At 46.1% G+C, this 17037-nt stretch overlaps 1 long non-coding RNA gene across 1 annotated transcript, besides 2 other annotated features; it reads left to right on the top strand.

Moving 5' to 3' along the window:
• Nucleotides 284-790: an enhancer, noted in NCBI's record as "H3K27ac-H3K4me1 hESC enhancer chr10:13452136-13452642 (GRCh37/hg19 assembly coordinates)". NCBI's record gives its function as "activates a minimal SCP1, AML or CMV promoter by ChIP-STARR-seq in primed H9 embryonic stem cells {active_cell/tissue: H9 hESC(primed)}" and the evidence as "EXISTENCE:reporter gene assay evidence [ECO:0000049][PMID:30033119]".
• Nucleotides 4179-13906, top strand: LOC105376420 (uncharacterized). Its single transcript, NR_188196.1, has 3 exons — nucleotides 4179-4338; nucleotides 4996-5404; nucleotides 12883-13906. It is a non-coding gene; the product is annotated as an uncharacterized LOC105376420 (long non-coding RNA).
• Nucleotides 6950-6999: an enhancer, noted in NCBI's record as "active region_3054". NCBI's record gives its function as "activates an Ori minimal core promoter by ATAC-STARR-seq in GM12878 lymphoblastoid cells {active_cell/tissue: GM12878}" and the evidence as "EXISTENCE:reporter gene assay evidence [ECO:0000049][PMID:35858748]".
• Nucleotides 13907-17037: the final 3131 nt, after the last annotated feature.

Below are 17037 nucleotides of genomic sequence, written 5' to 3' on the forward strand. Positions count from 1 at the left end.
CTCGTGCTTGTGATATCGGTAGTCCTAGTGCGTTAGAGGAGAAGGGATTGGGACTGAAGGTGTATTGTGATGTTTTGGCTGCAGCAGCCTGGGCCCTGCACTTCTGGTGTGTCAGGAGCTGCAGATCAAACTGAAATCTCCAGGATTCAGGCCCCATCCGGATTTGCCTGGAGGGCTGTTGGGGCAGATCCCAGGCCTGGCACCAACCCCGAAAGGCAACTTTTAGCCCAGCAAGGCCACACATCGTCCTCCCAGACCTTCCTCAGGATCTTAGGAGTACCTGAGAACCTACACCATGGCCCCATGCTGGGGCGCTGGGGGTGATTCAGGCTTCTCTCCTCTTTAGGGAGGAAGAGCATAGCACAGGGGCTGGATTGACGTCCTGCTTGGCCACAGGCATGTGCGTAGGAGGCAGGACTGGGGTGAGGCACCTTCCTGGGGCTTCCAGGCTTTCAGAGGTGGAGGCAGCGCCTATCCTTGTGGAAAACCAGTGTTAGAATTGGAGGAAGTTTTGCGTACTATGGGGTTGCTGAGAGAATCACAAATACCCATGAAATGTCCCAGAAATGGTGAGAGAAGCTTTTGGGTGGCTGAGGCACTCAAATGGTAGACAGGGTTGGAGCCAGAGAACTGTTTCTTATAACTTTAATGGGGGATGTTTGGTTTGGGATCTGGTCTCTGGCAGCAGGCAGAGTCCCCACCCTCCCGTTGAGTGATCACCCAGAGGTGAAAGAGCTGAAGGCCGTGAGTGAACGTGTATATTTTTGCTGCAAGCAAGAGGTAGCCTCCAGGCTCTGGAAGCTCATCTTGAGGTCACTGGTTTGGTTTGGCTTGCCACGAGGGCACTCTTTTTGCTCAGTAAAGCCCAGATCAAGGATTGATCACCAAAGATGCGAGTGGCCAAGGTGGCAAGCAATCTGATTTTTATTAGGTTTCTTGGGACAAAGCTATGCCTTGCCCACCTTTTCATTCCCTTCTCCACCTCTCATTGGTACTAATATATGTTTTTTTTGTTGTTGTTGTTGTTGTTTGTTTGTTTGTTTTGAGATGGAGTCTCACTCTTGTCGCCCAGGCTGGAGTGCAGTGGCACAGTCTCGGCTCACTGCAACCTCTGCCTTCTGGGTTCAAGTGATTCTCCTGCCTCAGCCTCATGAGTAGCTGGAATTACAGGCGTGCACCACCATGTCTTGCTAATTTTTTAATTTTTAGTAGAGACAGGGTTTCACCATGTTGACCAGGCTGGTATTGAACTCCTGACCTCAAGCGATGCATCTGCCTTGGCCTCCCAAAGTGCTGGGACCGCAGGCGTGAGCCACCTGATCATCCTCGTTGATCACTGAGTAGATTCTGGAGTCCAGAAGTAGTGCCCAGTGAGGCACTTTCTTTCACTCTCGGTCTCCAGGAGCTGGAATGACACCTAGATTTGGGCTCTGCGTCCTCTCAGCAGGGCTGGCTTCACACAGAGCTCATGCTCAGAAGGACCCTGGACTTGGTTAATGCTATGCTGCTGCCATCTTGGAATTTTTCATTTTTCTTATTTTACAACTTAAAAAAATTGTGATAAAATATATATAATATAGTGATTTGCCACAATTAACAAGAAAGCATGCACACACACGCAGTTTTATATGTGTATGTGTGTGTGTGCGCTTTAATTTTTATTTGTGAGACATTTTATTTTAATTGTGAGACTGTCTTTTTTCTGAGACAGGGTCTTACACTGTCACCCAGGCTGGAGTGCAGTGGCGTGATCACGGTTCACTGCAGCCTCAACTTCCTGGGCTCAGGTAATCCTACCACCTCTACCTCCTGGGTAGCTGGGACTACAGGCGTGTGCCACCACACTCAGCTTTTTTTTTTTTTTTTTTTTTTGTAGAGATGAGGTTTCGCCATGTTGCCCAGGCTGGTCTCAAACTCCTGGGCTCACGTGATCTGCCTGCCTCAGGCCCCCAAAGTGCCGGGATAACAGGTCACCATACCTGGCTATTTTCACTATGTCTAAGTGTACAATTCAGTGGCATCGATTCCACTCATAATGTTGTGCAACCATCACCACTATCTATTTCAAAAACTTTTTGTTGCTCCAAATAGAAACTCTGTACCCATTAAGCAGTGACTCCCCATTTCCCCTCCCCTCAGTCCCTGGTGTCCTCTAAAGTACTTTGTCTCTATGAATTTGCCTATTCTGGGTATTTAATAGAAGTGGAATCATGCAATATTTGTTCTTTTGTGTTGAGCTTATTTCTCTTGGCATAATGTTTTTGAGGTTCATCCATATTGCAGCATGTGTCAGAATGTCATTCCTTTTTATGGCTGAAAAAGCTCCCATCATATGGATATACCATTTATCCATTTATCTGTTGATAAACACTAGAGTTATTTCCACCTCTTGGCTGTTGTGAATGGTGCTGCTATGAACATTGGCATACAGGTATGTATTTCAGTCCTTGTTTTCAATTCTTTTCTTTTCTTTTCTTTTTGTTTTTTTGAGACAGAGTTTCCCTCTTGTCGCCCAGGCTGGAGTGCAATGGTGTGATCTTGGCTCACTGCAACCTCTGCCTCCTGGGTTCAAGTGATTCTCCTGTCTCAGCCTCCCGAGTAGCTGGGATCACAGGCGTGTGCCACCACACCCAGCTAATTTTTTTGTATTTTTAGTAGAGTTGGGGTTTCTCCATGTTGGTCAGGCTGGTCTCGAACTCCCGACCTCAGGTGATCTGCCTGCCTCGGCCTCCCAAAGTGCTGGGATTACAGGTGTGAGCCACTGTGCCTGGCCTCCTGAATTACCTCTCCTTTATATGGCTCAGCCTCGATGACCAGAAATTAACCATCACCTCTATCTTGGGGCCCACTTAAGGTCTGCTGGTCTTCCTGTGGACAAACGTGGTTTACTTGTCTGTATGTGCCACACTGTGGAAGAAGAGTTTACTTAAGACCATTAGCTTGAGGACTGAAACCACCGAAACCCACATAAGCTTGCTTATGTCTGCATTATATGACTACTACCATGTGGTCTTCGTAACATGACTTTACTATTCCACTGTCTTTACCAATCTATTTGTCTGTTCTCACATTGCTATAAAGAAATGCCTGAGATGGGGCAACTTATAAAGCAAAGAAGTTTAATTGGTTCACGGTTCCACAGGCTGTACAGGAAGCATAGTGGCTTCTGCTTCTGGGGAGGCCTCAGGAAACTTACAATCATGATGGAAGGTGAAGGAGAAGCAGGCACGTCTTACATGGCTGGACCAGGAGGATGTGGTGGGGGAGCTGCCAGACACTTTCAAACAACCAGATCTCATGAGAATTCACTCACCATCATGAGAACAGCATGGAGGGGAAGGTGCTAAGCCATTCATGAAGGATCCACTCCCATGATCCAATCACCTCCCATTGGGACCCACTTCCAACATTGGGGATTATGGTTCGACATGAGATTTGGGCGGGGACACAGATCCAAACTGTATCAACCAACATGATTTCACTGTGGCAGGAAACACTTGCCCAGAAAGCTAAAGATTGCAAGTAACTTTAGTGTTTGTTTTAGGAATTTCCCCTGAACTTACTTAAAACTGCCTAACTTTGGTAGATTGCAACAAATGACTGTTAACTCACCTTGCTATCTCCATGATCTTGGATTATATCATGATCCTATTCAATCTTAGACTTCCCCACACTGAAAGACCTTCCTTAAACCAGACTCTTAAACATCATAAACACTCTGAATTTATCTGTCCCACTCAGACATTGTTATGACCACCAGGGTAGTGCTTTTTCTTACTGCCATGAGCTTTGCTTTATCAACATGTTGCCTTGGTGGTATTTTATGGGAGCCAGCATTCGATAAGCTGCAATTTTCTTTTCCACACTATGTAGTTGCTCCAATCCTATTTTATCCAATATTCATCCATCCATCCAGCCAGCCAGCCAGCCACTGATTTATTTATTCATTCAACATATATTTATTGAGTGCCTACTATATGTTCAGCACCCTTAGACCCTGGTTTAGTGATGATGGATGATGTTACAGCCCTTGTCTTTACAGCGTTCACCCTCTCCTTCATCATTACGTCACTTTCCTGCTGCTAGGTGAAGGGGCCCAGAATATGCCACTTTGGTTTAAGGATTATTTTGAGCTGAAGGCAATTGGGAAAATACAGCCACAGGAAAAGCTCTCTGTCCTTCTTCTTTCTGCCTAAAAGCAGGCCACGTTTCCCTTTGTAAAGGTAACATAAATTTCCACTTGTAAAGGAATTGTGAAGTGGTGCCTCTCTCCAATACCAGAAGAGGAGAATAACTGTTAATCACTGGAGATGACTTATCACTGGAGACATTACCAAGGTGAGTCTGCCTAACAAATCCAACTATTCATCCCTTATCTACTGTACATTTCTTAGTTATCTTTCCACAATTTACCACTCCTAGAAGCCTAAATGATCTGCTTTCCTTTGTCTAGTCACTTCACAATTTATCACCCTTTGTTAAAATGGTATATAAACCCCTGAGTCTGACTACTTTTTTGGGGTCTTCTTCTTTTTTGTCTTTTGAGATAGAGTCTCACTCTATTGCCCAGGCTGGAGTGCCGTGGCACAATCTCAGCTCACTGCAACCTCTGCTTCCCAGGTTCAAGTGATTCTCCTACCTTAGCTTCCCAAGTCAAGTAGCTGGGACTTACAGGTGCACATCACCACACCCAGCTAATTTTTGTATTTTTAGTAGAGACAGGGTTTCACCATGTTGGCCAGGCTAGTCTTGAACAACTGCCCTCAAGTGGTCCACCCGCCTCAGCCTCCCAAATTGCTGGGATTACAGGCAAGAGCCACCGTGCCCAGCCTGGGGTCTTATTTTCTGTGAGGCCTCCTGTGTAAGAAAAAATATTAGCATCAAATAAAATTATTATATATTTCTCTTGTTAATCTGGCTTTTATCCATTTAATTTGCAGGCTTCAGTAACTGAACATAGGAGGGTAGACAAAATGTTTTTTTTCCTCTATGTAGGGAACATGGAGACTAAGAAGTACTTTCTCCTTGAATTGATTTGTAAGTGGAACTTTCCAACAGCAAAACAGCTGGATGTTTGTGCTTTTAAAATCTGGACTCTGGACTTGATCTTCAGAAGAACAGGAAGCAAGGTGTTTGCACTGAGTTTGACATGCACAGTAGTGATTAATTGACTTGTCAGTGCTGGGCTTTCTTGCCTCTAAGGTCCTGCCTCTTGCTTCTTTTGCCCTGGTGTTAATCCCATGCAGCTGGTGCAGAAACAGAACCAAGAGCTTGGAAGTCACAAGGTGGCGCCACCCCAACTAGGACTGTTCTTTCAAAGCCCAGTGCCCAGTTGGTGAAATGACCCACCAGCATTGCACAGGAGAGCCCCAGAGAGATATGTCCAGGATATACGATCAGTCTGGTAGGTAAGGGGCCCTTATCAGAGGCTTTGCCAAGAGATATGACCTGCCAAGCTGGTTTGTAAACCAGCTCTAGCTGCTTCGGAGTGATCGTGGTATATCTGGATGAACACAAATCTGGACACTCAAACGAATCTCTTGATGTTGGTTTTCTTTCAATTTAAAAAGATATTTTGTCTGGGAATGTGGTTCACGCCTATAATCCCAGCACTTTGGGAGACTGAGGTGGGCGGATCACTTGAGGCCAGGAGTTCAAGACCAGCCTAGGCAACATGGTGAAACCCCATCTGTACTACAAATACAAAAATTAGCTGGGCGTGGTGGCGCATGCCTGTAATCCCAGCTACTTGGGAGGCTGAGGCAGGAAAATTGCTTGAGCCCAGGAGATGGAGGTTGCAGTGAGCCAAGATCATCGCACCATTGCACTCCAGCCTGGGCAACAGAGTGAGACTCTGTCTCAAAAAACAAACAAACAAACAAAAAAAGATGTTTCACTTTTCTTCCCTTTTTATCTTTTTTTTGCAGCTGGTTCTTAGATATTCTCCAGCCCAGCTTATTTATCTTGTGAGCTTCAGGCAGCTTACTCTTCCCCCAACCTCTCCCATCTCTCCTTTCCCATGTGATTACATCTTTCCTTGGTAATGGAGTTTTGACTGGCCTTTTGTATAACGCTAAGTCACCATGAGACAGAATGTTTCCCTCCATATTTTTATCAGGCACTTTTGTTTCCTGAGCTGTTTTTCTAAGTGTGTGTGTTTCTGGTTTTGCTTCTGGTTGGCAAATAGGTCCGATATTCAGGGAGAAGATTGGATACTATGGTGTGTCAATTGATCTTTAAAAGAAATAAGCAAAAGTTGATGACATGCTGAAGCTCAGGGCCAATGCAGATCTGCCTCCCAAGAGGCCAGTTTCAATTAAGGAGATTAAAAGTCCCGAGTGCACAGAGGCTCGGTCACGTGTTTCTGGATGCCGGTCTCCTCCAGCAGCCTGAGAGCAGGCAGTGGAGTCCAGAGTGCTGGACTGAGCCCTTTGGGCCAATGTCAAGATGATAAACAATAAGGAGAGGATACTAAAGGAAAAGCTAGCTGATGGGACTCAGTGATTCCTCACAGGGACGTACTAGCAGCGTGGGCAGACCTTCCTTCTACAGGACTGACTTGCTTGGTGCAGGGTGTTTGGCAGGGCTATCCTCAACGCCATCAAATATCCGAGTGGCTCTGGATCCAAGCCACTGTGCCGACCAACCCAAATCCAACCCTAAACAAAAGTGATGCCCCTGCACATTTCCTAGTGGACAGATGCCCCCTTGGTACCCAACAGCCCCGCCTCTGATTTGCTCTCTACGTGGAGAGGAGGTCTTGTGTGACTCCCAGGTAGAGAACTGATTTGCCTTGTCCAGACCCTCCTCTCAGGATTCTAGGGTTCCGTGTTCCCTGACTGCCAGGGGGCTTTGTAGAGCCTCAACCACTGAGGGGCAAGGGCAGGGGTGACAGAGGAGGGAGAAGGGTGGACTGGCAAGGCCTGGCTGAAACTGAGGTGGGAGAGAGGGGCTTTGGCATCGTATAGACAGGGCTGGACCTATCTCTGACTCTTATGGGCTCTGCATTGGCCCTGAGCTTCAGCATGTGATCAGCTTCTGCTTATTTCTTTGTAAGACAGTTTGGTATACCAGATGTCAAGTCTGAGCCCAGACTGAAAGTGAGCTTCACTTTTGAAGTTTCTAAAAAAGAAGCCACCACCCACCTCACGGGTGTTATGCCAAGCTCACAGGAGGTGGTGTGTGTACATAAAGTGCACAATAGTCCCTTGCCAGCCCTCCACTGTAGGCAGCTATCCAGTGACACTAGGCAGGCAGGTGGGGGCACAAATCCCACTCAGCTCCCTGGATGTGTGGTCTGAATGTTTGTGTGCCTTCAAAATTTCTGTGTTAAAATCTTAACCCCTGAGGTGATGGTATTAGGAGATCGGCCTTTGGGAAGTGATTAGGTCCCAAGGGTGGAGTCTTCGTGAATGGAATTGGTGCCCTTATAAAAGAGGCCCAAGGGAACCCTCTCACCCCTTCCACCCTGTGAGGACACGGCATAAAGGCACTGTCTATGAAGCAGAAGGCACACCCTCACCAGACACCAAATCTGCCTTGATCTTGGACTTCTTGGATCTCCAGCCTCCAGAACGATTCGATTTCTGTGTTGAGAAGCCACCCAATGTATGGCGTTTTGTTACAGTAGCCCTAAGATACCAGAGCTGGTGATTTGTTTTAGAAGCTGACAGATCAATGTATTTTGAGGGTTCAGTGAACATGCCCTGTCAACCATGAATGCTGTGCAAATGTCAGGTCTGTGGGATAGCACAGGGGCAGGAGTGAAACAGGGCCATAAACAATAAGGAGATAAGGGAGGCAGGGAAGCAGGAGGGACTGAGCTGGGCCTTCAGGCTGGGTCTGGTTGGTCCCCGAGGGCAGGAAGGAGTAGGAGCATTTCAGGCGGGGGAGTAGCATGCGGCTGGTGGAAACCACAGGTATCTCTTGGGCAGGAAAGTTAAGTGGGCTGGGATGAAAGCCAGTCGGACAGAGGCCTGTGGATGGGAGCAACTGCAAAGACACGCTCAGGTTTCCCAGGCAAAGGACAGGAGCCCAAAACCACAGTTAGCCCGGTCTTGGGGTGAGATCCTCATGCAGGCCCTCTTCCTTCTCTTTGCTGTCTTTTGGTTACTTTCTTATTACCAGGATGGCCTCGAAAATGGAGTGGGAAGAGGGTGGGGTTCTACATGAGTCTATGTCAGGGCCTGGCTGCTTGTTTGGTTATCTAAAGCGGGGGTCACCAACACCTGGGCCATGGACTGGTACTGGCCAGTGGCCTGTTAGGAATCAGGCCCACACAGCCAGAGGTGAGTGGCGGGCGAGCAAGCAAAGCTTCATCTGTGTTTACAGCTGCTCCCCATCGTTCACATTACAGCCTGAGCTCCGCCTCCTCTCAAATCAGCAGCAGCACAAACCCTACTGTGAACTGCGCAGCCAGGGATCTAGGTTGCACGCTTCTTATGAGAATCTAATGCTTGATGATCTGTCACTGTCTCCCGTCACCCCTGCATGGGACCATCTAGTTGCAGGAAAACAAGCTAAGGGTTCCCACTGATTCTACATTATGGTGAGTTGTAGAATTATTTCTTTTCTTTTTTTTCTTTTTGAGACAGAGTTTCACTCTTGTTGCCTAGGCTGGAGTGTAATGGCTCAATCTCGGCTCACACCAACCTCCGCCTCCCAGGTTCAAGCGATTCTCCTGCCTCAGCCTCCCAAGTAACTGGGATTACAGGCATGGGCCACCATGCCCGGCTAATTTTGTATTTTTAGCAGAGATGGGGTTTCTCCTTGTTGGTTAGGCTGGTCTTGAACGCCTGACCTCAAGTGATCCACCCACCTCAGCCTCCCAAAGTGGTGGGATTACAGGCGTGAGCCACCACACCCGGCCTAGAATTATTTCATTATATATTACAATGTAATGATAATAGAAATAAGGTGAACGATACATGTAGTGTGCTTGAATCATCCTGAAACCTTCCCCCACACCAGGACAACGGAAAAATTGTCTTCCATGATACTGGTCCCTGGTACCAGAAAGGTCGGGGACCACTCATCTAAAGGACAGGAGGCGCTGCTGTCAAAAGCACCTGCTTCAAGATACAGAGGGTGGCAGAGCCCCATACCCTCAGGGGCTGGGAGGTTCATGCACTTGCCCGAGGTCACTGGGTGGTTAATGGCAGGCTGGTTTCCTGCTGTCCCGTCAGGAGGTCCTTCTCCTATATCCCCAGCCTCGTCCCTATTTCTCCCCAGATAATTGAGAAATGAATGGCCAGAGCTGCAGGCCTAGTTTTGTGGTAAACAGTTGGAACAGCCCGGGCACAGTGGCTCACGCCTGTAATCCCAGCATTTTGGGAGGCCGAGGCAGGTGGATCACTTGAGTTCAGGAGTTTGAGACCATTCTGGCCAACATGGCAAAACCCCATCTCTCCTAAAAATACAAAAATTAGCCGGGTGTGGTGGCGTGCGCTTGTACTCCCAGCTGCTCAGGAGGCTGAGGCAGGAGAATTGCTTGAACCCGGGAGGCAGAGGTTGCTGTGAGCTGAGATCACACCATTGCACTCCAGCCTGTGCACTAGAGCGAGAATGTGTCTCAAAAAAAAAAAAAAAAATTAAATGTAAGTCAGATGCTTACGGAAGTCTTGAAACACCTCCTCCACAAAGGAATATCCCAAAAAAGTAGTTTAAAAACTATTTCAGTAGAATACAGGCTTAAGAAGGAAAAATGACTTCTACCTAATTGTAATAATAGTGAACACATACATAGCACTCAGGCACTGCTCTGAACGCTCACAAATTAACACGTTTATTCCACAGAATAACCCTATGAGGCAGGCACCAGTATTATGATCTCCAGCTTACAGATGAGAAAATCAGCGGACAGAGGATTAAATGATTGGCACAAGGTCACACCACTAAACCAGGGCCATGGGAGGTTGAGGCTGCAGTGAGCCAAGACCGTGCCACTGCACTCCAGCCTGAGTGACACAGCCAGATCCCGTCTCAAAAATAAACAAAAAACCCAAACCTGAGACTAAAAGCCAAATTCTCAACTTCCAGGGCACTATCCATTTGACTATTCCAGAAAGCCCCTTACTAAGGGTGCCGTTGGCAGCTGAGGGGCTCACGTTGGTGGCTGGACATCCCCCGCGTGGCCCTTGCAGCTGGAGAGAATCCCTGCATTTCCCGGGCTCCAGCTTTTTCCATGTCATTTTATCCTTAGTCAGTGACTGAGACCGCTGTCTCAGCAGGGCTTCTCAAACTATCAGTGGTAAGGACCCAGGTTTGTTTTTTTTTTTGAGACGGAGATCTCGCTCTGTCGCCCAGGCTGGAGTGCAGTGGCGTAATCTTGGCTCATTGCAACCTCCGCCTCCCGGGTTTAAGCAGTTCTCTGCCTCAGCCTCCTGAGTAGCTGAGATTACAGGCACATGCCACCAGGCCCAGCTAATTTTTGTATTTCTAGTAGAGATGGGGTTTCACCATCTTGGCCAGGCTGGTCTTGAATTCCTGACCCCGTGATCCACCCGGCTCGGCCTCCCAAAGTGCTGGGATTACAGGTGTGAGCCACCGCGCCCGGCCAGGACCCAGGTGTTTATTTGCAGTGGGCTCTAGTATGTGATGAGAAATTGAAATTTTTGTATTAAAAAACCATAGAAAATATAAGCTCGTTTCTTTTTTATGACTAGATTCTTGCAACATAGCATTGGTCTGTTAAATGTGTGTGGGTGCTCCTGAACGCTTACTCTCACTTTCTGTGTTTGCCTCATTGTGGAGCTGGAAGTAATCTTTTGGGTCTCTTTGAGTGGCACAGTACTTTTTTTTTTCTTTGTAGAGATGGGGTCTTGCTCTGTTGCCCAGGCTGGTCTCAAACTCCTGGCCTCTAGCTATCCTCCCACCTTGGCCTCCCAAAGCACTGGGATTACAGGCATGAGCCACTGTGGCCTGTGAAAAGCACATCCCTGCCAGCCTCTGCAGTGACAGATTCTGAAACTTCCAGAGACAAAATGTCACAAGCACTAACCCGGCCAGGTCCTGGCTGGACCTTTCCCTGTGGTTACCTTGGAGGGAGAGGAGTTCAAGGCCATTTGGTTACCTCTCTCGCATTGTGTACCAGCAAAGCACAGGCCTTAGAAACTCAAGAGCAAATGCATTCCCCTCACTCGTGAGCCGTGTGAGCTTGGGGCAGGTTCCTGACCTGTCTGTGCTTCAGTTTCGCCATCTGGCAGATTGAGAGAGGGTGATGCCTTCCGCTCAGGGAGGCAGTAAAGGTGAGATGCGATCGTGCCTGGAAAGTGCTCAGCACAGTGTCTCGTTACTCTCTGTTCCTCTTTGTCCACAAAAGGACTCGAGTTAGGGCTGCTGGGAACAGGTGGGACTTGGGGGAGAGGGCGGCGTGGCTATGAGCCTTATAAGAACAATGTGGCCCTCTTGAACAAAATGTCAGAACAGAGGGTCTGGGTGGGCATAGCCTCCACAAATCCACATGTGAGTGAGGATTTCCCAGGAAAAACTTCCCCCAGCCAGAGATTGTTGAGAGAAAGGTAGGAGCTCAACTCAACCTCAGACCAGTTGGCCAAGAAGCCTCCAATTTCACACCCTCCACTGAGATTTGCTGGGGAGGAAGCCTGATGCTGTGTCTCCAGGGTATCTAGGACAGACGTGGGGTGTGTAAGCACCAAATAACCGGTCAGTCTGTGGTTTCTGGATTTGGCACCATTAGCTTCAGAAGCACTGTCTTGGGGTGTAGAGCTCAGGATCAGGACACCTCAGGCCTCTGAATCATCATGCATAGGGCAGCTGCAATGGCCCAGGTGTTACTATGCTCAGGCTGCAGCCACTTAAAGCAACAAAAATGTATTTTCTCACCATTCTGGAGGCTGGAAGTGCAACTGAAGGTGTCTGTAGGGCTGGTCCTTCTGAGGGCTGTGGGGGAAGGGTCTGCTCTAGGCCTTTCTCCTGGGCTTGCAGATGGCTGTCTTTTCTCCATGGCTTCACAGTTCTCTTCCCTCTGTGTGTGTCTGTGTCAAAATCTTCTTATAATTGGAACACCAGGTTTTAGAATTAGCACTAGGGCCCACTCTAATGTCTTCATTTTTAACTTAATGATTTCTGCAAAGACCCTATCTCCAAACCCACTTGCATTCTGAGGCACTGGGGCTGAGGATTTCAACATATGGATTCTGGGAGATTGAGGGGGGCCCATAATTCAGTCTAACAGCCCCTAACCCTCCTGGCTTCTGCAGAACCAAACAAACCATCCAAAGGCTGATCAACAACAACAAAAAACAAGCTTTCAGACCAACAGGAGAAGACAAGATTGCAATGCCTTCATAACAATGTTGCTTTATTGATGCAATGCAAGGAAAACTATGTTAGAATCTAGTGATTCTCTCTCTCTTTTTTCTTTTTAGATGGAGTCTTGTTCTGTCACCCAGGCTGGAGTGCAGTGGTGTAATCTTGGCTCACTGCAACTTTCACCTCCTGGGTTCAAGTGATTCTTGTGCCTCAGCCTTCGGAGTAGCTGGAATTACAGGCACCTGCCACCACGCCCAGCTAATTTTTGTATTTTTAGTAGAGATGGGGTTTCACCATGTTGGCCAGGCTGGTCTTGGGCTCCTGGCCTCAACTGATCCCCCTGCCTCAGCCTCCCAAAGTGTTGGGATTACAGGTGTGAGCCACTGCACTGGGCCTCTATTGATTGTCTTTGAGATCGACAGTAAAGTAAGAGATGAGCCTGGGATCCCCCAGATTCTGTCTTCAGTATGTTAAGGCTCTGCGTATAACTGTGCTCAGCCTTCCCAGTGTGGCTGAATGTGGGACTTAGGGCATGTCACGTAATCTTTCCAAGTTGAAATTTACTGATAAAGCCCAGATAACAAAATTAACTTCTATTTATCTCCCTAGGTGTTCTGAGCCTTAAGGTATGGTTGCAGCGATGACGCATTGCAGAACCAAAGGAATTTGTCCTTAGGATAGACCTTCCAAAGGCCGATCAACAGCGACAAAAAACAAGCTTTCAAACCAACAAGAGAAGACATGATTGCAGTGCCTTCATAACGACATTGCTTTATTGATGAAATGCAAGGAAAACTACGTTAGAATCTACTGATTCTCTTTGAGATCTAATAATACGCTTTATTCAAATCTTATTCACAAACCACTTCCTCCACGGGTCTTTCACAGGAACTGAAATTGGCCAGTTACAAACAGAATTGGTTCTACTGTCCTTTGAAATCACAGACGCAGACATGTTTTAGAATACAAAAGACACCAAGCTTTCTTTGGGAAACACGTCCTGTTTGGAAAAAAAAAAACTCACTTCTTAACAAAAATTGAAAGCACGCCTAACTTCAGATTTATTTGATTACAGAGTCTTTCTCAGGGCTAATCAGTTTTAGAACAGGTTCCTACTGGCACCAGAGAGCCAATAAAAAGTCCAGGAGAGAAGAGGTAACACAACAACTTAGGGAAACAAGGTTGTTTATTTTTTTAAACAGTATTCATATTTATACCGCTGAGTGAAATTATTTATACACACCCTGTAGGTTTTGCATCTTCAGAATTTGTTAGCATTCAGAGGATGATAAACTGTACCTTGGACTTATTTGTGAAAAAATATGTAGATGACACCTGGTGGAGTTTATTGAAACTATTATTCAGGTGTAGAGCCAGAGAAACTCAGCAGAAAGGGAAGCCGGGTTTTTAGATGTCACAATGGATGGTTAAAAATTTCAGCTTTGGGGCAACATTATAATACTCAAATTATTTGCCTCTGGTCCTCATTTTCTCCATCTCTAGCATCGGTTCTGAACTCAGGGTTTTCTGTAAATATTAAATGGCATAATGCATGCTGAGAGATCTGTGTGGGCCCTCCCAGGGTTAAGAATCCAATAAATGTTAGCTCATGTATCATCATTATTACAGAGAATCTTTGCATGTTTATATTTCATCTTTGGAAAGAATTAAATTCGTTGAAAAAAAAGGAGAGTAAGTCTCAGGCCTCCCTAGCATGTGCTCTTTCTCAGTTGTAAGAAGGGACATTGTCTCCCCACGCCCCCAGCATGGAACCGGCAGGATGGAGGGGCTGGTTAGCAGGCAGGGTAAGGAAATGCACAGAGGTTTCACTTTTTCTGTCTTCCCTGCGCAGGTTCAGCATTTGGCTTGATAACTTGTGAATTCCAAGATCAGAAGACCCGCCGGAATTGAATTACCAGTGCCCCAATCTTTCCAAATTCCATAATAATTTTTTAAAAAGTTAATTAATTAATTACTTTTTTTGAGACAGGGTCTCGCTCTGTTGCTCAGGTCGGAGTACAGTGGCACGGTCTCAGCTCTGCCTCCTGGGTTCAAGGGATTCTCCTGCCTCAGACTCCCGAGTAGTTGTGATTACAGGTGTGTGCCACCATGCCTTGCTAGTGGAAATGGGGTTTCACCGTGTTGGCCAGGCTGGTCTTGAACTCCTGACCTCAAGTCATTCGCCTGCATTGGCCTCCTGAAGTGCTGAGATTACAGGTGTAAGCCACCGAGCCAGTCTCATAGTAATAATTATAATAATATTATTATCCTCTTTTTCCACATCACTGTGTCATATTGTAGCACAGAAAACTAAAGTTGGACCAATGACCATTGGCTACAAGGAGCCCACTGGGATTCTGATGGTTATTGACTGCATTTGTATGTCCCCCACAGATTCACATGTTGAAATCCTAACCCCCAGGGAGATGATATTAGAAGGTAGGGCCTTTGGGAGGTGATTTGGTCAGGAGGGTGGGGCCCTTATGAGGGGATTAGTGCCCTTATAAAAGAGACAGGAAAGGCTGGGTGAGGTGGCTCACACCTGTAATCCCAGCACTTTGGGAGGCCAAAGCGGTGGATCACTTGAGGTCGGGAGTTCAAGACCAGTCTGGCCAACATGGCAAAACCCTGTCTCTACTAAAAATACAAAAGTTAGCCGGGCATGGTGGTGCATGCCTGTAGTCCCAGCTACTTGGGAGGCTGAGGCAGGAGAATTGCTTGAGCGTGGAAGGCAGAGGTTGCAGTGAGCTGAGATTGCACCACTGTGCTCCAGCCTGGGTGACAGAGTGAGTGAGACTCTGGGCCTAAAAAAAAAAAAAAAAGGAAAGAGCTTGCTTCCTCTCTCTGCTCTCCACCATGTAAGGTCACAGTGAGAAGGCAGGTGTCTGTGAACCAGGAACAGGGCCTTTGCCTGGAACCCGATCATGTTGGCACCCTGATCTCAGACTTCCAGTCTCCAGAACTATGAGAAATAAATGTTCATTGTTTAAGCCCCCCAGCCTATGGTAATTTGTTACAGCAACCTGGACTGACAAAAACAAAGATCATCCCAAAAAATAAGAACTCTTTTTTTGTTTTCCTTCTGATTCCGGCACTCAGTACCACCACGGGAGCTTATTTGGGCTCTCTAAACAACTGATCTGGGATCAAGAGGGATACAGATTTCCCGTTTGTCTGTTTCCCTCCGTGAACTACAACTCTAGATTTGATCTAATATCTGTGGGAAAAACATTCAGCAAAGGGAGAGGCCAGTCCACCACCATGCAGAGGCAAGAATGGTCAGGAGAATCTGCCTCACATCTTGCAGCCCTTACCCTGCCTTGTCGGAAGATGATAATTGTGCTGCCATTTATACGGTGACTCTCTTAGGGGTCAGGTAGCGGTGTTAATTTGACATTTTATTTCTGAATCTCACAACACATTTTTAGGCAGTTATGATTGCTCCCATTTCACAGATGAGGTAACTGAGGCCTGAGCATCACAGATAATAAGTAGAAAAGCCAGGATTTTGGCTCCAGAGCCTGCATTTAAACAATTATTCTATTTTTATTATATGGTTTTTGGGAAGGCACGTAAACTTTTTGAGGATCAGTACCCTCTTAAGCAAGACAGAGATAAGAATTCTGTTTTGCAATAAGCACAGAGAAAGATGTTCAGGTCAGAGAAATGCAAATGAAGGAATCCTTGCCAGAGCAATCAGGCAAGAGAAAGAAAGGACATCCAAACTGGAAAAGAAGTCAAACTATCTCTGTGTGCTGATGATATGATTGTATACCTAGAAAACCCCAAAGACTTCTCCAAAATACTTCTAGATTTGATAAATGAATTCAGTAAAGTCTTAGGTTACAAAATTAATGTATACAAATCAGTAGTACTGCTACTCATCAACGGCCAACCTGAGAATCAGATCAAGAACTCAGTCTTTTTCACAATAGCTGCAAAAAACAAAACAAAAACAACCCTAGGGATATACTTAACCAAGAAGATGAAAGTTCTCTACAAGGAGAGCTACAAAATACTGCTGAAGAAATCATAGATGACACAAACAAATGGAAACACATCCCATGCTCATGGATTGGAGAATCAATATCATGAAAATGACCATACTGCCCAGTGCAATCTACATATTCAATGCAATTCATATAAAAATACCAACTTTGTTTTTTCACAGAATTAGAAAAAACAATCCTAAAATTCATATGGCACCAAAAAAGAGCCCAAATAGTTCAAAGCAATCCTAAGCAAAAGAACAAATCTGGAAGCATCATATTACTTTATAAATTATACTACAAGTCTGTAGTTACCAAAACAGCATAGTACAGGTATAAAAGTAGATACATAGACCAATGGAACAGAATGGGAAACCCATAAATAAAGTCAAATACTTACAACCAACTGATCTTCAACAAATCATACAAAAACATAAATTGAAGAAAGGACACTCTATTCAATAAATGATGCTGGGAAAACTTGATAGCCACATGTAGAAGAATAAAGCCAGATCTCTATCTCTCACCATATAAAAAATCAACTCAAGATGGGTTAAAGACTTGAACCTAAGACCTGAAACTACAAAAATTCTAGGAAAAAACCTAGGAAAAACTATTCTGGACATTGGCCTAGGCAAAGAATTTGTGCCTAAGTTCCCAAAAGCAAATGCAATAAAAACAAAAATAAATACATGGGACCTAATTAAACTAAAAACCTTCAGCACAGCAAAAGAAATAATCACCAGAGTAAACAGACAATTCACAGAATGGGAGA

This window comes from Homo sapiens, chromosome 10 (assembly GCF_000001405.40).
Source record: "Homo sapiens chromosome 10, GRCh38.p14 Primary Assembly".
In the NCBI taxonomy this organism is placed as follows: Eukaryota; Metazoa; Chordata; class Mammalia; order Primates; family Hominidae; genus Homo; species Homo sapiens.